This window comes from Homo sapiens, chromosome 12 (assembly GCF_000001405.40).
Source record: "Homo sapiens chromosome 12, GRCh38.p14 Primary Assembly".
Taxonomy (NCBI): Eukaryota; Metazoa; Chordata; class Mammalia; order Primates; family Hominidae; genus Homo; species Homo sapiens.
Genome location: NC_000012.12, coordinates 24,357,924 through 24,385,480, shown reverse-complemented (window position 1 = coordinate 24,385,480; position 27,557 = coordinate 24,357,924). Strand labels below are relative to the sequence as shown.

Here is a 27,557-nt window from a genome sequence, read left to right as displayed (position 1 = left end):
ATACAATGGGGTTATGTCCTGATAAACCCATTGTAAATTGAAAATACTGTTAAGTCAAAAATGCGTTTAGTAAACTTACCTTACTAAACATCATAGCTAGCCTAATTTACCTTAAATGTACTCAGAAAACTTACATTAACCTACAGTTTGGCAAAACCATCTAACACAAAGCCTATGTTGTCATAATGGATTAAATATCTTATGTAATTTATTGATTACTGAAAGTGAAAAACAGAATGGTTTTGCACCATTGTAAAGTGGAAACTTCATAAGTAGAATTGTAAGTTGGGGACAGTCTGTACTGTGTTTTCTCTTACATATACATATCTTTAATAAAATTTAATTTAGAAATTAGGCACAATAAGAGATTAACAGCAGTAACAAATAATAAAATAGAACAATTATAACAATATACCATAATAAAATTATATGAATGTGGTCTGTCTCTCTCTCTCTCTCTCTCAAAATATCTTAAATACTGGATTCAGCTTTCTTCTTGTGATGATGTGAGGTGGTACAATGCCCACATGATGAGATGAAGCGAGATAAATGCCGTCAGTATTGTGACTTAGTCTTAGGCTACTACTGACCTTCTGTATTGCAGAATCTGTGTAACCATCCCTTGTTTCCAGTAAATGGTTTGATATTACTCGTTTCAGGAGATCCCTTGCTGAAATCTTCATTTAAGCTCAATACTTTGAGGGGCAACACATTCCCATGAGTTGGAACTCATTTCCGTTCATGTCCTCCACCCACAAAGTTCATAGCCTTTTTCGTCTTAACTAGGCACCTATCATGCACTGTAGCCATAACTTTTGCTGTTTCAGGTGCAACAGTAAAATGAGCATTAACTTCATTTTCCTTCTTTGCAATTTCACAGATAAATTAGTTCTTACCGTGGACCGTAGCAGCCTCTGCATAAGATTTTTTTCTCTTAAGTCAAGAATTTTCACCTTTTCACTTTTTAAAGGAAGCACTTTACCCTTTCTCTTTTGCATATCCAAATTGCCAGCATCACTATGATTCTTATGCTTTGGGCACATTGTGAGGTACCATAAGGCAGGAGTCCCCAGTCCCTGGGATGCAGACTGGTATCAGTCCGTGACCTATTAGAAACCGGGCCATACAACAGGAGGCGAGCAGCAGGTGAGCCAGCATTACCACCTGGGCTCCGCCTCCTATCAGAGCAGCCATGGCACTAGACTCTTGTAGGAGCGCAAACCCTATTGTGAACTGTGCATGCGAGGGATCTAGGTTGTGCACTCCTTATGAGAATCTAACTGTGTTAGTCTGTTCTCATGCTGCTATGAAAAAAATATCTGAGACTGGGTAATTTATAAAGGAAGGAGGTTCAATTGACTCATAGCTCTGCATGGCTGGAGAGGCCTCAGGAAACTTACAATAATGGCGGTAGAGGAAGAGGCACATCTTACATGGCAGCACGTGAGAGAGAAGTGCCAAGCAAAGGGGGAAAAGCCGCTTATAAAACCATCAGATCTTGTGAGAACTCACTATCATGAGAGCAGCATGAAGATAACTGCCCCTCTGATTCAATTACCTCCCACAGGTTCCCTTCCGCAACACTTAGGGATTATGGGAGCCATAATCCAAGATGAGATTTGGGTGGGGACACAGCCAAACCGTATCACTAACTAATGCCTGATGATCTGAGGTGGTAGTTTCATCCTGAAACCACTCCCCAAGCCCCAGTACCCCCCAACCAGTCCTTGGAAAAATTGTCTTCTACAGAACCTGTCCCTGGTGCCAAAAAGTTTGGGGACTGCTGCCATAAGGGTTTCTTGAACAGAAGCATGGTGATACCATGACGCTGGATCTGATAACCAAGCTGCTACTAAGTGACTAACAGGCAGGTGGCATAGACAGTGGGGATTTGCTGGACAAAGGGAGAAGTCATGTCCTGGGCAGGACAGAGTGGGACAGCAGGAAAATTTTATCATGCTACTCCCACAATAGAAAACTTATGAATTGTTTATTTCTGGAATTTTCCATTGAAGATTTTTGGACTGTGGTTGACTGTAGTTAGTTGAAACCACAGAAAGCAAAATCATGGATAAGGGAGGACCCATGTAACTACATATGTGGACAGTGAATTTAGTTCCTTATGATTTATCTGTATAGAATTAGCTTTAAGGAATTGTCTCTATTAAAAACAAATCGTTACATAAAGGTAGTTGTGATTTTTAAAGACCATCATCAAAGACACTGTCAATTCTGCTGTATCTTTTAAATAAAGACTCATTTGGGCCAGGCGGGGTGGTTCACACCTATAATCCCAGCTGTTAGGGAGGGAGAGGTGGAAGGATAGCTTGAACCCAGGAGTTGGTGACCAGCCTTGGCAATATAGGGAGATCGCATTCTCAATCAATCACAATCAATAAATACATACATATATACTCATTTGGAACCTGCCACTTGTAGTGGTCAGAGCTAGGACAACTCTTATTTGGGGATATACATTTCTTTTACATTGCAACCTCGTTTCTAAACTCCAGACACACGTATCCACATGACTACCTGATAGCTCTGCTTGGCACATGCAAAACTGGTATCCTGATGTGTCCCTCAGACTTGCTCTCCCTGAAGTCTTCTGTTTAGTTAAGGGTAAATCTATTCTTCCCATTGCTCAGAACCAAAACCTCATTATCATCCTTGACTCCTCTCTTTTGCTTTTACTGTACATCTAACGCCTCAACAAAACTACCTTCAAAATAGTTCCAGAATCTGAGCACCTCTCACCACCTCCGCTATTTCCTGTCTGGTCAAGCCACCATCATTTCTCATTGTGGCTATAGGCTCCTAACTGGACTTCTCCTCTACTGGCTCCTTTTTAGTCTTCTCACAAATCGTGGCCAGGGTGAACCTTTGAAGTGTAAATCAGATTAGTCAGATGTCATCCTGTGCTCAGTGACCTCCAATGGCTTCCTACCTCAGGGGAGTCCTTACTATGACCCTTGAGGAGCAGAGTCAGCCCTTACCCCCTTTCCTCACTGACTTCCCCTTCCGCCATTTTCCTCCATACCCCCTTTCCTCATTGACTTCCCCTTCCGCCATTTTCCTCCCTACCATACTACCATACTGCCCGTTGCTCTTTCTCCTATGTGGTGGAAGCCACCAACTCTCCTGGGGCCTTTGCTCTCCTCCAGGTTCCTTCAGCCTGTGGTGGTCTCTGCTCTGTTAACCGCGTGACTCATTCCAACACTTTCTTCCAATCTTGACTCAAATGGCAGCTTCTTACGGAGGCCCTCCCTTCTACTACCAAAGACTTGCTTTTCTCCCTACTTTAATTTTTCTCCTTAGCACTTCCCTAACTTAATGTGTGTATATACATATGTTCATTTATCTTGTTTGTTTTTGATCTCCCTAAGAATATTAGCTGCGTGAGGGCAAGGAACTTGTTCTGTTTTGTTTACTGGTCTATCTCTAGAGCCCAGGATAGTTCCTCGCAAATGGAACAATACTTGTTGCATACATGAATAATCTCAGGCCGATTTTGGCTGGTGTTCTGTATTTATGGTCAGAGAAGTCATAAATAATGTACATTGTTTTCTTTTTGAATTCCATGTAGGAAGCTTTGGGGTTAAAGTCAAATTCTTAGTTATTTTTAGTGTTCATTCCTACTCTCCCTGAAGTTTTTCTCTGCTAAGATACATCTATCACATCTATATTAATTAACCACTGTCTTTTGAATTTATTTATCCAACTTGATATTTGAACAAAAAACTATGTGTGGGTCACTGTATGAGGCTCATAAGAGACATGATCCACCTTTTTAAAGACTTCTCCAATTTCACGAGTAAGGCAAGACTAGGAAATAATCCACGTAGAAGGGCAATTTCTAAATATAAGAGAGAGCTGTTTAAGGAGGCATTCATTGAATACTAATTGAGATTTTTTTAGAAAAACATGCTCTCACCCCATCCACTGGCTATAAGGTGGGAATACGTGACTTGGGTATTTTAAAAACTATTTTCCATGTGATTTAATTAATCCACACAACCACCCATTAAGAACTATTGATGTAACAGACATGTGTGTATGTACTATGCTTTCAGACAAACACACCTTCTGCCTTATTTATCAGGGCCTGCCTAGTACTCTCACTGTATAATTGAAAGTTTGCTAATTGAAAGAAACATTCTAAAATCTATCAACTTTAGGTTAACAGTCTAATTGATATTAAAAGTAAATATACATATTTAATTATACTTGTTTCCTCTTTATGAAACAGAATGTTTTTATTGTTTTGTTGTTTTGGTTTTTCGTTGGTCAATGAGTAAAGCCACAACTTGATCTGCAGCCGTGTCTGGCGTTTTGGGCATTTGTCATGGCCAGGCTGTGCTTTTACGTACTTCCAAAGATAAGGTCTTCACACTAGTAATGCATGCCCTCCGTAGGCCACACTGTTCTTTTTCATTCTATTCAGGAGTGCCCCTCAAGTAAGGATTACAGTAGTGCAAAGTCTGCACTTAATTTGTTGCATCTTGCCCTATAGATGCCCCCCTTGGAAATTTTATTTGTTTCAAATTTGGATGGAGATTTTAGGGACTTCTTTTTCTGATTAGCTGACTGTTGCAGAATACAGTTAGAAATACAAAACTCTGATTTGATTTTCCTTTTTCATATGAACTATGCTGTAGATGATTTGATATCATTGTCACTTTGCAGCCAAATTCTTTGGTTTTCCTCAGTTTACTCACTTATGCATTGTGCCCTCCTTTAAAAAAAATATATCAAGAACTCTGGGACAATTAAAATACATGCCCTTTAAAATAAAAGCAACATGAGGCTCAGCCCAGCGATGGAGTTTATCTCTGGGTTCTATGAGTTAGAGGCACACTAATTTACTAGTGCTGGAACCAAATGGGTTGAAAATCCTTGTTTTCCCACCAGATGGGTTATTTTAAAATATCACAAAACTTCTGAGGTTATTTACATTACAAATGTGCTTCTTCACACACATCAAGAATTGAGTACCATGTTTTGACAGTAACTCCTTTATGAAATTATATGTTGCGCAAGTGGAGTAAAATTCAAGTCATTCTCAAGGGAGCAGGCTTATGAATCTGGATGAGGTCACACCTCTTTAAAGATGCAGTTTGATAATCCGACATCAAAACAAAGGAATTCTGTTAATCCTCTCACAAAAGTGCAAATTGCTAATCAGATCCCTGGGCTGGGCTGGCAGCTTGGTAAACAATGAGCTTGGCAGAAGAGCAACTTTGGGCGGATAGATAGCTGAGAAGCTTGGGATACCAACTTTGCCCCTATGTTAGCCCAGTTGAGTCTGTTGTTTCGAAACAATTACGTGTGTCAATGGAGGTGGTTCTTGCAGTTATTGTGTTCTTGTGCTTTTCTCCCTCCATGTTAATGATGATGCAAATCAATCTTCCTGTCTTTCATTTCACTTCACTGGTGTATAGGCTACTATGCCCCTATATTCTTTTCACTTGGATGCATGTGTCTTTTGAATTTTCATTACACATTCCTCTACAAGCCCAGAGGGTTTTCCCTCCCTCCCATAAATAGTGTGGTGGTATTTGAAAAAGGAAGAATAAATCTAAACCCATCTGAAGAAAAAAAAAAGAATCTTCTGGAAGGTGTAATAATTAGGACTCTTTTTTTTTTTTAAAGTGGTAAAAATCCGATTTGAGGAAGTTTAAGAAATAAGCCTGGAATTTGTTGGGTAAAGGAATACAAGGAAGGCAAATAACCAAGGAGGGGAAAGGACAGGAATGTAGTTGGGCCTCAGGAACAGTTGGAACCCGGGAGTCACACTTTGTCAGGGCTTGATCCCTTTCTCTTGTCTCTGTGTCACTTTGAATGTCGGCTTCACTCTTTCTTGCTGCAATAGAGATTTCTCCATATGGGAGGAAATGTCACCATTGATGACAGCACTGGAATTTTATAGCTCACTGCTTTATCCATTCTCCTTAAATCAGATATCTTAAGGAAAGACTCTGATTGGCTTGGATTAGATCAGGTGCCTGTTCTGGACAAATCAGCCATATTATATAATCTCAATTGCTAGGGGATAGAGGGTGCATGCTATCCGTCATACTGTCTTCTTCAGAATGATTGAAATACGTAACCAGCCTGAAACATTCTAAAACCTGATGATTGCATTAGCACGTAGAATTATTTTGTTCATCTCAACACCACTCTTTTAACTTTCACTCTATTTGGCCTTTTTGGCATTTCCAACTTTCACTCAAACATGACTAAGAGTTAACTTGAAAGTGAGAAATACAACTTCTTCATTTTAAAAGGGGGCTCTCATTAAGAGAGTGCACTGTTTTGAATACTTTCAGCTAATTTCCTGTCTCCTAGTAAGAGAGGGTGCATAAATTATTTGGGTGCAGTGTATGTTGGAAAGGAGCAAAATTTAAACTTTTGATTGTGGAGCCGTGTTCCAATGGGTAAGAGCTGTGTGCTTTTGCTGTAGGACAGTATGGGCTGCAGTTGGCATATTGGTTTTCAGTCAGATGAATGATGCGGAACATGACAAATCTACATCTGTAAGGGGAGAAATGCGTCAAAGGTAGAGGTTTGGGGCAGAGGATGGCTGGCCCGGTGGGGCCATGTTACCCACAGCCAAAGCTTTTTGAATAAGAGCACTGTCTTTTTAAAAGCAACAGGGGGTGCGGATTGAGGGAGTGCTCACAGCGGTAAGTATAACACAGCTGTGCTCTGTTTATGCTTCGGCTACAATAAAAAAGCTATAAAATGTGAGATGTCATAGCTCCACTTTGCTTTATTTATACTATTTCCTCTGAGCTCTGTCACACTGCACATTCATCTGCTAAGTTGCAGCAAGAATGGAGATTAAAATATCACAGCTCAAAATAGGAGTCAAGCGGAAGGAGATTCATCATAGCCCTATTAAAAATATGTAAATATGGGAATGAAGTCATTTTAAAGCTATACAGTGCTCCTCCTTTATGAGTTAAGATCCCTTGAGCAAGTGATGGGCTATGCCAAGGACAGAGCTAGGGGAACTTGTTCTCTCTTCCACAATGGAAACCCTTTTAAGATTAAAGACTGTTTGAATTGCAAATTATGTATGTTTTTCTATAATCAGAACCGAGTTAATAATGGCAGGAAATCGGATGCAAAATAGAATGAAGAAAAGTTTTGGGAATCAAGATTGTACATTGTTCATTTGGTTAGAATTTTTAAAATTAATATATGGAATCTCCTTTTAGACCCCGGTTATTAATGAAATTTGAGAAACTTTGAAAAGTATCCCTGGATAGGGAAGCTCTAAGAAGGAAACTGAGACACAAAGACGAAATTTGACTTTCCACAGCTCAACTATCAATGATGAAGCTAAGGCTGGAAGCTAGGAATTCTACCTAAAACTTTGCCAGTAAAATTACTTCTTTTAGGATTTCTGCATCTCTAGTCCCCACAACAATTTATTTACCTCTGTTGTTTCCATGGTGTGCTTAGGCGAGTAAGGAATGGAGTTTTTACATGAAAAGTCTGGAATACCTCATATGCGATTTACATGCCTTTTATGCTCTCCTTGCCAAGCTGTTGAGTGGCTCTTGACCTTTTGACCTTCTGATTTTCCAAATGTTCTATTGCTATTGTGGTAATAATGAAGACCAGCACTCATTAGGGGCTTACTGGGTACCAGGGATGGTTCTAAGTGTTTGATGTGAGGATCCCAACAACCACATGCAGTAGGTATTATTGTTTCTCAGACTTTACAGATGTGGAAACTGAGGCAAGAGATTATACAGCTAGTGAATGAGAACAGGAATTCCTGTTGTCTTTCCAAAAATATGTATTAGGAAAACAGTGGAAGGAGCACGAGGCTGGAAAAGAGGGTACTTGGGTTCCAGGCACAGTCCTGCCACTACCCTAAGTCAACTCATTTTTCTTATCTTTAGAATAAAATGAACACATGATTATGTCTTCCAATTTCAACTTTGCGTCTATACACTGATACCTCATGAAAGTAAATTTTCAGTAACATTTTTCTGCATTCTTAGTTAGTTTTAGTTTCAGAAATGGTTATGTTAAATATTTGTAATGTACAGTGATTCTAGAATTTTGTTTGTCATGCACTTTTCATTATGTTTTAATTGAATTGTTTTGGATGCAATGAATGGGGGAGCAGAGCTAGCTGAAGACTTTCTAGCTGTGTGAACTTGAGCACATTTCTTAATCTCTCTGTGCCAGTTTTCTCATCTATAAAATGAATATAATAAAAGTACCTTTCCCTGTCAGTGTATGTTGGAAAGGAGCAAAAATTAAACTTTTGATTGTGGAGCCATATTCCAATGGATAAGAGCAGTGTGCTTTTGCTGTAGTACACAGTATGGGCTGTAGTTGGCATATTGGTTTTCAGTCAGATGAATGATGCGGAACATGACAAATCTACATCTGTAAGAGGAGAAATGCATCAAAGATAGACGTTTAGGGCAGAGGATGGCTGGCCCAGTGGGGCCATGTCGAGATTATGCCTGTAATCCCAACACTTTGGGAGACTGAGGTGGGAGGATCGCTTGAGGCCAGGAGTTCAAAACCAGCCTGGGCAACATGGTAAAACCCCATCTCTACAAAAAAAAAAAAATTCAAAAAATTAGCTGGGCATGGGGCACACACCTGTAATCCCTACTCAGGAGGCTGAGGTGGGAGGATCACCTGAGCCTAGGAGATCAAGGCTGCAGTGAGTCTTAATTGCACCACTATACTCCAGCCTGGGTGACAGTGAGACTCTGTAAAAAAAAAAAAAAAAAAAAAAAAAAAAAAAAAAAAAAAGGTATCTCTCCCATAGCATCATTCTGAAAATTAAGCCAGGTAACACATGACAATGCTTAGCACATTGCCTACTCATAGGAGCTACTATAAAATATCTAAATGTTTGCTTTTATGATTATTATTGACCATCTGAGTCTCATTTACCATCTCTGTCTTTTCATGCTACCAGTTCTCCTACCATGATTGGCAAATTGTTTAGCTTTTTGGTGCCTATATTCATGAATTTGCAAGGTTAAGATGCCATCAGAAGTTATCATCTACTTAAGATAGAAATATTAGGGCAGGATGGAACTTTAGAGGTTGTGTCAACCAGCTCTTTCATGTGATTAACGTAATACCCTGAAAGATCAAGTGGCTCATCCAAGAACCCTCAGCTAACTGGTAAACCCAGAGAATAAGGCCCATGGGTTCCAGCTGCGGGTTCCAATGCAACACTGCTACCTCCACAAGTACCTCTGTGTTAGATAAAAAATGCAAAAGTTCTTGGAATTTGTAAAAGGAGCAATGACGCACATTTTAAAAGTTTAAATTAGGCAAGTTGCCATAGTATCTCAGATTTATGACAGTTTTAGATTTTAGATTGTGCATCTTTTTGGCAGACTTCAGAAGAGGATGCTAGGAAATACGCTTCAGGCTGGCAGTGCGTAGAAGTGGTCATCTTTCTTAGTGAATCTTAGGAAATTGAAGTGCTTGGTTCCTTTTGTATGCTGAGTGAGATAACATGTAATTTTCAATAGCATGGGAAGAAGTGGACCTGATATACTTAGAGAAGGTGGAAAGAAAAAAAAAGACTTTTTAAAAGCGGTTGGAGTAATTTAAATAGGGAAATATTTGATAAAATAGTGTAATAATTTTTGAGACACATCTATTGGGGTCAAAGTTCATCCACTTTAATATACAAAGAAAAATAGAGCTGTTTCCATAATGTATTCTCACTTTTTTTTTTTTTTTTTTGAGACAGAGTTTCACTCTTGTTGCCTAGGCTGGAGTGCAATGGCGTGATCTTGCCTCACTGCAACATCCACCTCCTGGGTTCAAGCGATTCTCCTGCCCCAGCCTGCCAAGTAGCTGAGGTTACAGGTGCCCACCACCATGCCCAGCTAATTTTTTGTATTTTTAGTAGAGATGGGGTTTTACCATGTTGGCCAGGCTGGTCTCGAACTCCTGACCTCAGGTGATCCACCTGCCTCGGTCTCCCAAAGTGCTAAGATTACAGGCGTGAGCCACCGCACCCGGCCTTATTCTCGCTTCTGACCCCTCACCTTACTGGGCAGGTTGAAAGGGAATAAAAAGTGAACACAAAATAGCTGTGTCAAATCCTCTTTGTTTATTAGTTTTTCCATTTCCCCGTTCAGGCCCAGGAGCAGGATGGAGTGAAGGAGGGGCCTAGGATGCAAAATGTAAAGAGACACCACTCTTGCAGGGCACGGTGGCTCACGCCTGTAATCCCAGCACTTTGGGAGGCTGAGGCGGGTGGATCACGAGGTCAGGTGATCGAGACCATCCTGGCTAACACGGTGAAACCCCGTCTCTACTAAAAATACAAAAAAATTAGCTGGGCGTAGTGGCGGGCGCCTGTAGTTCCAGCTACTCGGGAGGCTGAGGCAGGAGAATGGCGTGAACCCAGGAGGTGGAGCTTGCAGTGAGCCGAGATTGCACCACTGCACTGCAGCCTGGGTGACAGAGCAAGACTCTGTCTCAAAAAAATAAATAAATAAAAATAAGAGACACCACTCTCAGGTGCCAACCCTGCACCCACAGGGCCCTGAGAACAATGATGCCTCTTTTAATTGCGTGTCACCCTAGTGACTACACAAATCTCACTCTAGTGCAGGCCCTGCCTCTGTCCCAACTAAAGAAACCATCTTTGGGGGAGGCTGTATCACTGTGGCTAGGGCTGGGAGTGTGGGCTGTCACATTTATTCATGCTGGTCCTTGAGTTGACCTCTGTGTCCTTCCTGGATTCTGCACCCTAATCTGGTCTCTACCCTGAGGGGCTCTGTCCTTGTTGGATCAGCTGCTGATGCAATTGGCCCCACCTGGACTTTGAGCCAGTGAATCTGTTGCTGACCTACCATTGCCTTTGGACTTGAGGTTCCCCCTTTTCTCCCCATGCCAGGGCTTCCTCAGTCTTCCTCTGTTTTGTGCATGCATGTGTGTGTGTGTGTGTGTGTATGTGTGTGTGTGTGTGGTGGTCTGGAGAGGGCAGAACAGAGCATAGGACTTTTCAGTTTCCCTGCACATGGGCACCAACTACGAGGAATAAATAACCAACTTTAACTCAGTCAATCCAGACGTTTTCCTTCCTTTAGCGGTGGCTTTTTATTTCTCTCTCACCAGGTTAGATGGACACAAGACTAAAAACAGGGATTCCCAGACAGTCCTGTGCTCTCGCTGCCACCCTCAACTCCTGCCACCAAGAAATGTCAATGAAAGAGGACTGTCAGCCCACAGGGCTGCGGATTCCTTTGTGCCACTCACAGGCTTCTGCACCACTGCCCTGGAAGCCAAATATTAATACCAATATGGAGGAAGCCTGAACCCCGCCTCTGAGCTCTTCATCCCTCTTCTACCTCTTTCTTTGCCCAATATTCTCTCTTCTTCCTCCCTAGGTGTGTGAGAGCTCCCACACTGGCTGTTTATGATCTGCATTTTGCTTTTGTTTTGTAAAGGGACATATCTTGGAGATCTTCACTGCTTTTTACTCTCAAATTCTGTCATTCGAGTTTGTTATCTAAGATTTCCAAAGGTTAGCTCTGAAACTCAAAGCCGATTAGTGGCCCCTCTGTTCTAGAGGGTGGCCAACCTCCTCTTGAAAGGATAAAGGCCATTAATCTAGGGACAGCAAGAATAAGACTTACATGATATGGAACTGCATCTGGAAATATTTCAGAAAGTAGCATATCTGTTACGAGTGGCAGTCACCTTAGTTTCAAAAAGTAAATAATTTCAATATTCCTTTAGTCATGGTTTAAGAATCTATATCTACTTACATATAGATATCTATATATATCCATTTTGATATCTGTGTTTGTGTGCATAGCTATACACCCATATGCATATATCAAAATATAACATTCTACTTTATAAATGTAATATAATTATGATTTGTCAACCAAAAATAATATCAATTTTAAAATAAGAATATATTTATTGTGGTGATAAAAATACAGCTTCAACCCAGTTGCCTGTTATACCTTGCATATGTTTAAGAAAAGGAAACTAAATTTCTTTGAAGAATGCTGACTTCAACTAACACAGAATTTAGCATATTGTACACACTGAAATATTGTATGAATGAATGAATGACTTTATCTTGAAGGTCATTTAACTTGGTCATTTTGAGCAAGGACACAACACGATAAGATTAGTGTTTTATAAAAAATATGGTAGTGTTGCAGTAAGTGAATAGAAAGAGAATGAGATAGGGAGCAACTATAGGAACATATTCTAAACATATTCTAGAAAAACTACTGGAAGAGATTCCTTTTCAATGATCCCCACATTCCAAATACTTAGACTTTGCACTGAACATATGGTTGTTTTCCAAGTCTGGTTTTTTTTTTCCTCTTGACACTGGGTCTCAGGTTTGTTACTGAGGTTGGAGTGCAGTGGTGCGTTCTCGGCTCCCTGCAGCCTCCACTTCCCAGGCTTACATCATCCTCCCACCTTAGCCTCCCAAGTAGCTGGGACCACAGGCCTGTGCCGCCACACCCAGCAGTTTTTTTTTTTTTTTTTTGGTAGAGATGGGGTTTTGCCATTTTTCCCAGGCTGGTCTTGAACTCCTGAGCTCAGGCGACCCACCTTGGCCTCCCAAAGTACTGGGATTACAGACGTGAGCCACTGCACCCATCCCCAAGTCTGTTTAAAGAAGCAGCAATTAAAAAGTCAGGAAACAACAGATGCTGGAGAGGATGTGGAGAAATAGGAATGCTTTTACATTGTTGGTGGGAGTGTAAATTAGTTTAGCCATTGTGGAAGACAGTGTGGTGATTCCTCAAGGATCTAGAACTAGAAATACAATTTGACCCAGCAATCCCATTACTGGGTATATACCCAAAGGATTATAAATCACTCTATAAAGACACATGCACATGTATCTTTATTGTGGCACTGTTCACAATAGCAAAGACTTGGAACCAACCCAAATGTGCATCAGTGATAGACTGGATAAAGGAAATGTGGCATTAGACACCATAGAATACTATGTAGCCATAAAAAAGGATGAATTCATGTCCTTGGCAGGGACATGAATGAAGCTGGAAACCATCATTCTTAGCAAACTAACACAGGAACAGAAAGCCAACCACTGCATGTTCTCACTCACAAGTGGGAGTTGAACAGTGAGAACACATGGACACAGGAGTAGGCGGCATCACACACTGGGGCCTGTTGGGGGCTGGGGGGCTAGTGGGGATAGCATTAGGAGAAATACCTAATGTAGATGATGGGTTGATGAGTGCAGGAAACCAACATGGCACGTGTATAACTATGTAACAAACCTGAACGTTCTGCACATGTACCCCAGAACTTAAAGTATAATAATATGAAAAAAGAAGCAGCAGTTACCACTTACTTTCACCTTTTAAAAAGACCTAAGAAAAGTTGGAAGGAATTTACTGTGTATTTGAGTTCATTTCTCACAGGAGGTAGGCAGTTGAGTTTTCCAAATGATCTCTCTCTCTCTCTCTTTTTTTTTTTTAAAGGCAGAGTCTCACTCTGTCACCCACGCTAGAGTGCAGTGGCATGATCTCGGCTCACTGCAACCTCCACTTCCTGGGTTCAAGCCATTCTTCTGCCTCAGCCTCACGAGTAGCTGGGACTATAGGTGTGTGCCACCATGCCTGACTAATTTTCATATTTTTAGTAGAGATGAGGTTTCATCATGTTGGATAGGCTGGTCTGGAACTCCTGATCTCAGGTGATCCGCCTGTCTCGGCCTCCCGAAGTGTTGAGATTACAGGTGTGAGCCACCACGCCTGGCACAAATGATCTCTTTACATACAACTTAGTACCTTGTTTTGTATTCGTTATTCAGAGTGGGTACAAGAATTGTCAGTTTCAGGAATAGCAATCTGGTGTCTATATGGTTAAGGAAACGTAGCCCATAACTGACTCCTGTTTTCAGGGTGAAAGACTAAAGAGAAGTTGATATAAGACTTGCAGAAGCCTGTGATCCTGTATAACAAATTATCACAAATTTAGTGGCTTAAAACAATGCCCATTTATTGGCTCACAGGTCTGAAGGTCAGAAATCCAACACAGCCTGGTTAGGTTTTATGTTCAGGGTATCATGAGGCTAAAATCAAGGTTGTCCAGGCTGAGTTTTTGTCTGTAGCCCTGGGGGGGAAAAATCTGTCTCCGAACTTATACTTGTTTTTGGCAGAATTCAGCTCTTTGTATTTTTAGGACTGAAGTCCTTGCTTCCTTGCTGGCTGTTAGCTAGGGCTTGTCCGTAGGCCCTAGAGGCTGCCTATATTCTTTGCCATGTGTACTTTCTATTCTGAAGACATCAGTGGTGTGCCAAATCCTTCTCGTGCTTCAGATCTCCATTTTCTCTTCAACTTCTAGACTAAAATGTAAAAGACATACGTAATTGATTAGGTAAGGGTCATGTAGATAATCTGTCTCAAAATCACCTGTGTTATATAATATAACCTATTCATGGAATAAAATCCATTATATTCACATTCCTGGGCATTAACCTGAGCATATTCAACATTTCAGTAGGATCTTTGGGGTGTTCTTCCTATTCTCTCTACCAAATTGTCATTTGTTTAAAAAAATTAACAAGGCATTTTCTTGCATGGAACAACCAAAGCACTTAGGAGAAATACAAGGAATATGTGACTTAACTAATATTTTGTTAGGAAACCAGTCATTTTGTTGTTGTTGTCTTTTGACAGAATCTTGTTCTGTCATCCAGGCTGGAGTACAATGGCACGATCTCGGCTCACTGAAACCTCTGCCTCCTGAGTTCAAACGATTCTCCCACCTCAGCCTCCCGAGTAGCTGGGACTACACGCGCGTGCCCCCACGCCTGGCTAATTTTCGTATTTTTAGTAGAGACAGGTTTTCGCCATATTGGCCAGGCTGGTCTCACACTCCTGGCATCAAGCAATCCACCTGCTTTCGCCTCCCAAAGTGCCGGGATTACAGGCATGAGCCACTGTGCCTGGCCAAAACCAATACATCTTTTTTTTTTTTTTTTTTTGAGACGGAGTCTTGCAGTGTCGCCCAGGCTGGAGTGCGGTGGCGCAGTCTCAGCTCACTGCAAGCTCCGCCCCCTGGGTTCACACCATTCTCCTGCCTCGGCCTCCTGAGCAGCTGGGACTACAGGGGCCTGCCACCACGCCCGGCTAAATTTTTTTTCTATTTTTAGTAGAGACGGGGTTTCACTGTGTTAGCCAGGATGGTCTCCATCTCCTGACCTCATGATCCACCCGTCTTGGCCTCCCAAAGCGCTGGGATTACAGGCGTGAGCCACCGCGCACGGCCAAAAACCAGTACATCTTTTAATGAAGTTTATTTTCTAACATCTGACCTTGACAGATCTACTACTAATAATATTTAGAAGTTTTACTTGTGTGTGATTCATTCATTTCTAAATGTTACTACCATTCACTTTACCAAAACAAAACAAAAACCCCAAAACAATTTCTATATCTATTATTGGGAATAGGGAAGGAATGGCTTTTACTGTTTGTGTGAGAAAAAATAAGCAATGGGATATAATTTATATGTAAATATCAAGTCAAAGTGAATTTTAACAGTGAGATCTTTGTTAGTAAGTTCACTTGAGTGGTAAAGTAAGCTAGCTTTCGAAGCTTTTTGGACTTTGTAGATTTAAAGGAGGAAAGTGGGCAAGTTTAACTAACTCTATTGTTAGTGTCAAGATTAGAGGAAGCCAGTTCTCTGCACAATATAATCCACACTTCTGACATCAATTGCAGGTTTAGTGGGTTCCCAAAACCAACCTCAGCTTCAGCAATTTGCTTGAAAGACTCAGAATGCATTGAAAGCTGTTATACTCACAGTTATGGTTTGTTTTAAGAAAAGGAGACAGATTAAATTCAGCGAAGAGAAGAAATATGTAAGGTAGAGTCTGGGGAATTACCAGAGACAGAGCTTCTGTTGTCCTCACCATGGAGTCAGGATATGTCACTTTCCAGGCATCGATGTGTGACAGTATGAACAGAGCATTGCCAGCCAGGGGAGCTCACTTGAGCCTTTGGTGTCCAGAGTTTTTAGTGGGACTTGACTACATACTGTCCCCTACATGGCTGACCTTTAGTTTCCAACCCCTTTTGAATGTTGGTGTTGGGCTGAAAGTTTTAGTTTCTGGCCCCTTCGAGAGGCAAAACTGATACTGCTTGGCCCAAACCACCCACTGTAAATCACATTGTTAGACTGTTCAGTGGCCAAAGCCTTCAGCCAAACAAAGACACTCCTATGACATTTTGAGTTCAGGAGATCATGTTCTCATAGCTGAAGGCAGATGCCCATCTCTTTGGCCAAGGTTAATTCTTCACTCCATCAATGAGGAGGGAAGGGGGAAGATGAAGACGGTATACTGTGTGTCAGACAGCATGCTAGGCGTTGTCTCCTTTAAACCTTTGAACAACATTATTAGAAAGACACTACAGTTACCCTTACTTTACAGACAGCTGGATTTAGCAAGATTAAGTAATTTATCCAACACTGTATATATAGTGTGGTGGAACCAGGGTTTGGACCTCTGTTGGCCTAACTCCAAAGGACATCTCAAACACTTCACTGGGTTGCTTCCACCAAAACTGAAAGAGTATAATGATATGTAATATAATAACCATTTAGAAGCAATTATTCTCAAGAATGGAGTTTTTAGAATAAAGTTGTCATTTAGATTTATAAGAATGTGCAGTGCTCCTTTAATAATGTAGGATATACAGGAAGAAGGTTGATATATGGATGGTTACTTCGTTGAATTCATACCTTCCAAATGGAATCCAATCAGCACTGTACCATTTAATGAATGCAAACTCATTTATGGGGTGTGTGTTATATCCCAGGTGCTGTGCTGGCCATTGGTGACCCAAAGATGATGAAAAATATGTTCCTGCCCACAAGGAGTTAGCGACCTACTGGGGTATGTACAATGTTTATTCTGTTATTTTTAATATGATGCTTGTGTTAAGCAGTGTGTAGAGAGCTAATATGTAAAAAGAATTTGGCAAATAAATTTTGCAAGTATTTGGCACAATTTTTCCTTTTACCGAATGTACTAATGCCAAAAAATGTTGGTAATTTGGAGATGGTTTCTCATATAACCAAATCAATAAAAAACAGGTTCAATTTTTGTAGATTCTGTAGTAATAGGGCAGATTAAATTTTAAAAAGCCACTGAGACATGTCTGTACTTCCTACACTTGTGTGTATTTGAAGGCAAATGAAAGTAGACTAGAAATGCCACCAAAGCACATCACACATTAGCAACAATGTACATTTCTTCTTCACACATAAAACATTGACTCTTCTGCTTTTTATTGGTTACTTTATTGATAATTGCTATCTTTCATCTTCTCCTACTTCATCAGTTCCTCCAATTGAGCAAAGTCTATATTGGGATAAAATGTATCTTTCCTTCCTTAATTAATGTTGATTTTTGCCAAAATATGTATTTTATTTGAGTCATAATAAAAATTATAATAGTTTTTTCTTACAGTAACCATGCAGGATGCCTTGAGTAGTCCTGAAGAACTAAATATAGTAAATGCAGTAAATATAAACAAAAACTATTATATTCTAATGCTGCTTTCTATCTTTTATAGTTCATTGTAGGGGAATAGAATTAGAAAATAAGATAAGAAATTTAAGTTGAACTTAATTTCTAGTAGTTCAAGAAAATGCTACACAACTCTAACAAGGATGTATTTGGATGTATTTAATAAGTGTTAATACACTGTTTAGATTGAACATCATAACTGCTGAGAATGCGGTTCTGATCATTTTAAAATATGAGGAAACCAGGAAAGAACATGTCTCTTTTCTTGGCAATATGATTTTAATTTTTAAAAACATTTAATTACATAAACCATATCCATCATCTTTGCATAGATAAATGTTGTGGCAATTTTTTGAATGAACCTCTTGGTTTCCTAAGAAATTATGGATACACTATAAATTTACAAATGAAAGGCCATTCATCAGAGTTATAAATATGAGTTGTTCCCATGCTGATGCCCATGTAAACTTAAAGTGGTTTAATATCTATTGGCTTTTGTGTATAGTTAGTATTGCAAAAGAATATAGATATTGTCATAATTATGTGGTGTCATAACATTGGCAAAGTGGTAGGACAACATGCAATATTTTTTGAATAGCGTGGCATTTCTTTGAATTACTGCTGGCAACAGAACATAAATCAGCCTTAATGATGGATATTCCAAAGATGTTTATTAATCTATTCATTTAATTTAAAATACTCACTCTTGGCATTTATAGAGCCAGCTCATAGGAAGTGGCAAGTGCTTCAAACCTCAGCAGTTACTTTTAGGGGCCCCATAATTATGTCAGCTAAGTCTGGTTGTAATTGAGATCAGAATGCATAAAAATTATTTCCTACTAATATCTGCTAAAGATACTTAAGCAAAATGGATTTTCTTATATGTGTCTAAGCAAAATCTCAATTTGTTTCACCATTAAATGAAACTTAACTACATGGCTATTTGAACTGTCAGTTTTTAAAGCCTATTTTTCTTCCTTTTTTTTTCTTTTCTCCTTCCTCTACCCATTTGCTTTCTCTCTGTCTTTTTCTCCACTAGAAAATAATCCTGCATTGTGTAAATTTAATTGAAAAGGACTGGAAAACTGACAAAATTCCTCTGTACCAAATTAATGAACATCATACGGCATGTGATTTTGATAATATGTAATAAGATTAAAGACAGGTAGGAGGGACTGCAGTCAAGAGTACAGAGTACAGGGGGGAATTTACACTAGATAGGAAAGGTCAAAGAAAGCCAGTAATAGTTACACTGAAGAAGGAGTCAGCTATGCAAATATTATGGAATAGGATGGTATGAATGTGTGTGCATGTGCTTTACTAACATATGAAAAATCCAGGCACAGATCTAACTTCTGAATTAAAATAATGTAAACAGAATTCAATTTCTCTCCATCTCTCAGTTTCCACTAATACAGCTTCAGTCTCTGACTTCATTTGGTAGCAAGATGGTGGCGGGGCATTGCTTCAACTGTAACATCCTCTCAGGCTTCAAGCTGAAAAAGAGAAGATGCCTTTTCCAGAAGCCCTATCAAAAGTGTCTTTGTCCTAATTCATTCTGATTAGATCACTGAATAATCCTGTGCCCCTCTCTTGGAGCAGAGAGCAGAATCACCTTTGTAATTTTCATGGACTAGGCATTGGGTTTGTATCCCAGAAGGAAATAGGGTACTATTAACTGAAAGAGGCTGCATTAATGCTAGGTAGCAAAGAAAGAATGGATTGTTGCCAGAAAAATCACAATGGGGACATATACATGAAAATTTGCATGTCATTCTAGAAGCCTTCGGATTTCCTAGCAATCTGTGGGTTCTAGGATAAGAAATTCGAATAGTGACATTGAATTGATGCCTTCTAGAACAAACAAAAACAGCATTGATACCCATAGCCATCCAGGATAATGAGTTGTTACTGGGACTATTTCCTGAATAAAGAGGCAAAATGAGGATAATATGTAACAAGTAGTTTAAATGATAATACCAAATTAAGAATAAAAGCAAGTTACATCATTTTGTTAACTAAAGTGGAAATGAGTGGTTCAGCCTTGGGGGTGCTTCTTTGCTAGTATTTGTATTAAAAAAACTAGGCAAAATCTTTTATTTAAGGTAAGCACTTTACACTGGCAACATAAAAAGACATATTAGGAAAAGAAGTTTCCTAATGTTGATTCAATAGCTTTTATTGCTATAGAAGCCTGTGTCTATATGTATCCCAGATCTCTTCAACTTCAGTTAAAAAAGTATTAATCAAGTCTATTTATTAATTTGTAAAGAAAATCATTTTCAATAATTATATCAAATTTTGTGCAGATTAGCTGATTTTTTTTCTTCTTATCCATATTTTATTTTGGAACATGTTGATGAAGTCACTTATTTTCTTAATAATTATTTTTAATTGAGTAATTTAGACAGAATTGATAGAAGGTATAGGTCAATCATAGGAAAACATGGGTACTTTCTAAATGCCTACATGGTGATCATTTATTTTTCTATGCAATTGGGAAGAAATTAACCTTTTAACAAGGTGAAGACAAGAGTAGCTCTCACTGAGATGGAAGATGGAAGTCATGATTATGCTTTATTGTTACATAGATTCCTTACTTTCTTGAAAGAAGGAGTCAGCCTGGAGTTTTAAGTTGCTTCACTTGAGCATAACAGTTTTTCCTCTTGAGCAACTCAAAATATCACTCAAAAATGGGAAAGAATTCCTTGTTTACCAGATATTTTTGAAGAATAAATATGTTAAATAAAGACGTTACAGTGTGTCACCTTTTGTCTCTTTGCACAAATGAAAACCCTGTGAATTTAGCACTGTTCGTCATGAATGAATAAACTTTTGAACCAGAAAAATGAGTCATTACTGCTCCTCAAGTTTAATATACCCAAGTTGTGGAGAAATATATCATTTTTCCCCTACCAATTAATGCCACTGAAATACAGCTATTTTGGGGGATGATCAGCTTTCAAAATAGTTATACAAAGGCCATTGTGTATCTGATTATGAAGATTAACATGTTATTTAGAAAATAAACTCTTTCCCCAAACCTCTGTTTGCCACCAGTTCTTGCTTCGACTGAGACGTTCATGGATTTCTGATCATTCTGTGTTTGTATAGATTTTGTTTTGTTCTCCTTTCTAGGTTACAACATATGTTTACATAGTGTCAATTTTCTGTGAGTAGAAAACAGCAGGTAGTTCATTCTCAGAAAAGTGATTTACAGATTTTCTTGCTATGCATTCCTTCCTTTGATTTTCAGTTCCAGTTTTAATTTTAACCTAGCTAGGGAATTGATTCTCTCCATAGTAGTATCAGTCATCAATAGAGTTTGGAGGAAAAGTGAATTTCTCACTTATGTAAAGAATAAAGAACAAATTTATTCGTGTATATATATATATATATATATATATATATATATGAAAAAATGTTAAGTTGTTCAGTTTTGGCTGACACAAATCAATGGATATTTTTAAGGGTGTAGGTTAAGGCAAGAAGATTATGTCATTCTTGTAGTCCTTTCTAAGGACAGAAGATAGAGCATCAAAATACTGTAAGAAAAATCCAAACCATATTTTTCTTATGTGATGTCCAATTTGGCTGTGTAGGTGTGAGTTTCAGATAAGACGAAATGCATTTACAGATGTGAATTGTAAAAACATTTCCTATTATTAATTTTAAGGGCTTTTAAGGAGCAGAATGAGTTTCATTGAGAACCCCAAAGCATAGATTAGTAAAGACAATTGCCCCTCTGAATAGGACATGAGCTAAGGAGTGAACAGAGGGAGAAAATTCACATACATGTTTTGAGTTTCACTTTAGGACTCTTGAAAGCTTCGGTCACTGATTGGGATTTTTCTCTAACTGGGAGTCAAAGAGACAAAGCATCTAATCTAAATAATCTTTCTCAGGTTTTCTAAAAATGCCTGCCGACGAAAACATGTCAGACAACTGATCCAATAGGGCCTGAAGGTTTTCTGTTTGTTTGTTTTAAATCCATTCTTTCCTGGGAAGGAAATAAAAGAAAGCTTGAGGTTGGTGACAGATTTGGGCTCTTGCCACATTCCCACCTCACCTTCATGGACATTTCTCTACTTCAGAGGAAGTTAATATTTTCCAGAGATGTTCCATAGGTATTCTAAATCATACTACAGACACCTGCTCCTATATATGGGTATGTTGTTCACCTAAGATGAATCAGACTTTTTTTTTTTTTCATGTGCTTCCTTTAAAAATCCTCATTAATCTCAGTCTGTAGAATTTAGGGGGAAAGTTGGGTTAAACAGTTGACACTGTTTAATGTAAATGATTTATGATTATTCCTTATGTATACACAATAGGCACTTTATAAATTAGATTGTCCTAGGAGTAACATGATACATAAATGTTATTGCTATAAATTCTACACTTGGCTATATATTTTGTATCATGTAACCAGTGGGCTTATAAATGCTGACTATTTCAACCTGCTCTTTCTACTCAATATTGTAAATGGTGACTTAGGTAAGCCTAACTGAGATGTATACAGAGGCAATCAAATTGCAAAAGAACAGGGCATGCTGGCACCGCTCCAGCATGGCTTCTGGCTGTGTTCCAGAAGTGATGGCAGAAAGAAGAGACAGAGGGGAAGGCGAAACTATTAAATATATGTAGCCAAAAAATGAATCTAAATTATTACTAATTTTTTTTTGCTCAGTAAAACCAAGAGTCTGGTGAGAGAGAAAAGGGGAAAAAGCAGCGCAAACAGGAAAAAAGCATGAGTAAAACCAACTTATCAAAATTTAGTAGATGTTATTTCACAGGTGAATTTTCATTATTTAAATAACAGTAAGGATAAAGTTAGTAGCTCTATAATTATAAATGTTTTAATATCAATAAATATTTCATATATTTTTATATAGTGTGTAATAGGAATAATATTTGATTACATGTTTTTACGTATCTGTGAATGATGAATTTGAGGAATTGGGTCTTGCAAATCACTTAATTCTACTGGTGGATCAAGACACTTTATTATATGTATAATGCTGTTATGCTAATAGCCCTCCTTTTTTTTTTTTTTTTTTCACTGTGGTTTCTTAGCCCACTGTGATTTTCTTTCTGAGATCCTATAGAATTTGAGAGAAAAATCCCTGAATAAAATATCTAGCTAATTATTAAATATCAAACTCATCTAAAGTATTGAGTTAGAGGGGAAAGGGTAGCACGCCTATAACTGACCAGCCAGGTTAATATTAGTTTCCTGGTGTCGACTCCTTACCTGATCACAGAGTCCTGTCATCAGGGCTGATTTGAGTTGTACTATGCACTAATTTGTGTAAGGGAGAACTGGGCTGTGAAGAATTCTATTTTGTTTATAGTGTCTATTCTGATAGTGATTTTATCGTCCATTTTATAGGCTGAGTGTTCCAGTTGATTCCCTCTCCCCACGCCCTCTTAAGTATTAATGTCTACACAATTGATCTGGTTACCCGTGAAGTCAGTCCAAATAGGCTGTTACGGTGACTGAAAATACAAGACCAGTAATTTTAAAACCTAGAGGTTACTGTCTTGCACAAAAGGACTAAATCTTAGCAGGAAATCCCCAAGTGAAAAGATGATGGGACTGAATTCAGCACTCTGTATGTGTGACTTGTAATAACAAACATTATTTTTTTGGCTGTGATATTGAAGGAAATATCCAAATGTGCCCCTTATGACTTCTGTAACGTACTTTTAATTGTCATACTCTGGAGCTATCCTGGTGCATGCATGGGAAAGAATATACATATGCACATATCTCTATATTTGTAGGCACTGTAGTCAAAACACTTATTTGCCTAGCTGACTTAGCTGCATAGTTGACTTACCCACCCACCATCAAACCCTCTAGAGGAAATAGGACAGAAAGGTCACACAGAAGCAGTAAAGCCAATGATCTCTTATAAAACAGTTATTTAGGTTCTCAGTGGCACTGTTCATCTTCTGGAAGGGAGATCACTCCAGTCTCTGCCCATCCCTGTGTCATCAGCGTAGCTCTGGACTCTTGGAGTAGAAGAAGAAAGCCTATTCTACCTTGTTGCTGCTGTACACTCAGGTAAGCCTGAACTGAAATCCCAGAGAGACTGCTGTACCAGACAGGCTAGACTATGGGGAGATTCTAGTGCTGATGGAGGTCTTTACAGGGCTCAGTTTGTCCTGTCAATTTTAACCATCGTTTAAAATTCCACTTTTTCTTATAGGGGTTTAAATTTAAATGCAAGACCTGTATATTTATGCACATGTGCGTGTGCGCACGTGCATGCGCACACACACATGCGCACACACACACACACACACACAAAACCTGAAAAAGCCTCATCACTGTTGGTTCACTGTTTGTTTCAGTGCAGAATACTTAGAGTACCTGTCATTTACTGAGGACTTTCTTTGTGCCAGGAATTGTTCTTGGGCTTTGCTTGTATTATATAATTTAAGCCTCCTACAGTACCCCATGAAACAGGTAGTATTATTATACCCACTTTTTCAGCTGAGGAAATGGAGACAGAGAAATTGAATAACTTGCCATGGTTCAATAGCTAGTAAGAGGTGGGGCGGGATTCACACCCAGGCAGAGTAATCTCAGGGCTCGAGCATACATTTTTCTAGGTTGATTTATAAGCAACATGCAGTGTTTCATGTATGAGAAGAATGCACTGGGGCCATCACTGAGCAAGAAATGGGATCTGCATTGTTTTTGTTGTTGTAATGGTCATGTAATTTCCTCTCTCAGGCCATGGTGTGACCAATGGCAAACTTTTTTTTGAGAGAGCCAGTCAAAACTGCATGGAATATTCTATGGCCACAGAAGAGAAAGGAATGTGCTGGTCGATACGAGGAGCTGACCTAAGACCTTGCTTTCACTGTAACCACAGTAAACAAGCGAGTTAATGAACCATAGATGTTTAGTGTGTCATCAGCGTCTTTCAATTTTGTCATCCTGGGTAGCTACCATCAAGAAGGACGGAGTGCCCTCTATGAATATGTATTTAGTACTAGATATAGCAATTTATTCTTTTGAAGAGCACTTTATCATTTTGGTTTTGATAAATGTATAAACAATAATCAGTAGTTAGGGGTTTCAGGCGAAAATGGATGCCATTATTAGTGATTTAACAAGTTTTCCTGTGAATTCCATGTGTATCACTCAGTCTGGATCTTGCGACCCAGGGATACATATATCCAGTTTTTAGAACAGCTCACTTTAAAAGCCTCTTGCGCTATGAACCACTAAGATCTCAGAACTACAGTAGTTACTAATTTCCACACTTTCAATATGTAAAATGAAGTACTCAGACAAAAAACCTCGAGGCTGCATAGGTCAGAATATTTGCTTAAACTAATAATAAGATTAGCTTTTTTAGTTCTAGCTCTCCTTTTCCTATCTATTTGCCTTGCTAACAAGGCCTTACTCCTGTTCAGTTACCTAGTGCCATGATCCCTCTACTTTTTGGACTTTTTATGATAATTTGAGCTGATTTTCCTAGTTGACATAAAGAATTTCCATGAGAATAATAAAACATAAGGACTATTCATCAAATAAGAATGATGAAAACACGAAATTTCACCCAAACTGGGCAAAAGTGCATCTCACTGCACAGAATTCCATAACATTTTGAAATTTGGTCTTTACAGATATTTTTCTCTGCCTGAAACATGTGTGCTGGTTCTATTTATATAAGGGAATAGTGACATCCTGTGTGTAGCTAGACTAATTGCCTCTGTAATTAACCTATTTGAGGAGGAAGTTACACAGAAATAAAATATCACTGAGTACTGAAAGAGGCAATTTTGTTTTAAAGCAAACTTCTAAGTAACTTTACCAAAGGCTGTGGATAACAAAAAGATTCTGTCTCCTTCCCTTATTTTATTCAGCTTCTCCCTTCCCTCCGTCCCTGCCATCCTTTTTCTTTTCTTCCTTTTCTTTCTCTATACAATTCCACTAATCCTCTTCATTTTCTCCCTATGACCTTTATTCCCCATATTATAAGCTAAAAATCTAGTTGTTGTGAGTGAAGATTCTATTTTTAAATCCAGAATTGGGGAATGATGTAAGTGTGGTGAAAAGAGACAGCTTTTTTGTTTTCAAGGCTATTCAAATGTCTTTGCAGGTCAAGAGTAGGTAGGGTATGTCTAGAATCATTTGGATGTCTTAGAAGCTGATGACAAAAAATCTTAGCCTTCTTCCTTATCCCTTGATAAAATATGTATTAATTAAATTTAGAAAAGAGCACGAGAGCATGCAAAAGCAGGGTTTCTGTTGACTTCTTAAAACCAGCAGAAATTATTGGAATGCAATATGTTGCAATAGAAAGAGTACAGTTTTTGGAGTCTGAATTATTCAGATCTCTTCCCAAAAGTATGGCTAAGGGGGAGCAAGAAGAACAACTTCTTCCTCCATGCCCATTTTCTTTAGTGCCCCTTGTAAACATTTCAAAAGGTATTATGTTGCCAAGACATTTGAGAGAACAGTGGGAGAAAGCAAGAGCAAGATGCCTGTAGATAAATTAGTCAAAATTATCCTGTGGTGTGTGTCCTAACTCATCCATCAGATAACGGCAAGACCGGAGCATCAAGGCCCTCACCCAGCCTTAACTTCATGAGTAATCCTCTGCACCATAATCAAAATGATATTTTGAATCAGATCGCTTAAGACTTCTTTCATGGGATAATGTGATATAGTTTTCAACTCAGGTAACTAAGTTTGTATTTTGCACATTATACTGACTTGAAAAAGCTCAATTTAAAGTTGTCCCTACTACCAAGAAGAATTTCCTTTTGAAATATATGAGAATTTCAAGCCAAAGCAAACGTAGTCACTGCATTATGTACTGATAAGCATGGAATAGTTGGAGTAGAAATGTTTCTGGGGTTCAAAGCATGGTGGACTTGGATTCCTCAATTTCCAGGATACAATTTTGATGCCTCACTTTCTTTATCTGAGAAGTGGGGATAGATATATACCTCCTTTCTAAGGTAAACGTGAGACTTTAGTGAAGAAGCATGTATGTAATACTATCCAGAGTGTCTATAAATAAATGCTTAATAAATAGTAGCAAATATTATTTTAGATAATGTTTGACGAAGCAAAATGATTTAGATAGCAAATAGTTGAATGTAAAGGTAATTAACTTTATCTGGTTTAACTGTTCTTCAAGTGGATTTGATTAATGACCTATGCTTGCCATTTATTGCTTTGTAATCCTTGCTGTAGTAACCTTCCACTTTTATTGATAATGTTTATTAGCAACAACTAAATTACCATTCTTGGAAGACAGTGAAAGGACAATTTTTTTTTTTTTTGAGATGGAGTCTCGCTCTGTTGCCCAGGCTGGAGTGCAGTGGCGCGATCTTGGCTCACTGCAAGCTCCACCTCTTGGGTTCACACCATTCTTCTGCCTCAGCCTCCCGAGTAGCTGGGACCATTGGCGCCGAAAGGACAATTTTTTTTGGCAGTTAAGTATTATTTCTTGGGAAAGATACAAAACAAAGAGGAGAAAGGAACACTTCAGAGAATTTTCCTGTGCATCACCTTTGTGATTAATACTGTAATCACTAATGATTATTGGATTGCAAAGAAGGCTTCTTATTGGTAAAAGGAAATCCTCAATTTTATATAAAAATAGTCATTCGATCCTGGCTATGTTTTAGCAATTTTGCTAATTAAATGTAGTATCTATAATTATTGAGGTGTCCCACATTTTTACACAAACCTCCCATCTGTTTTATTGGTGATTTTCAATAAGATAGTAAGAAACTCAGAAAACCATCCTGTAGAGAATCAGATTCAGTTGCTTCTTATTATCACAAAATAGTTCACTCATCCATTCAACAAATATTTATTGGATGCCCGTTACGTGCCACACACTGTGCCAGTCTTGAAAATATGGTAATGAACAAAGTAGACAAGGCATGGATTTTATAGGCAGACAAAGGAGGTAGGTAACCCAAAACAAGGGATTGTAATAAAGTATGTAAGTCTTAAAATATA

The 27,557-nt window shown here is 38.7% G+C and overlaps 1 protein-coding gene across 20 annotated transcripts in view; it reads left to right on the top strand.

The window, feature by feature from the left end:
- Positions 1-27,557, top strand: part of SOX5 (SRY-box transcription factor 5) — a 1,033,147-nt gene that overhangs the window by 177,170 nt on the left and 828,420 nt on the right. For 19 of the 20 annotated variants that reach the window (XM_024449159.2, XM_024449158.2, XM_047429458.1 and 16 more), the window contains one exon: positions 16,842-16,918. The gene's annotated coding sequence lies outside the window, so the exon portion shown is untranslated. Of the gene's footprint in view, positions 1-16,841; positions 16,919-23,480; positions 23,625-27,557 lie in introns of all 20 variants that reach the window. The other variant, XM_024449153.2, reaches the window with a different exon arrangement.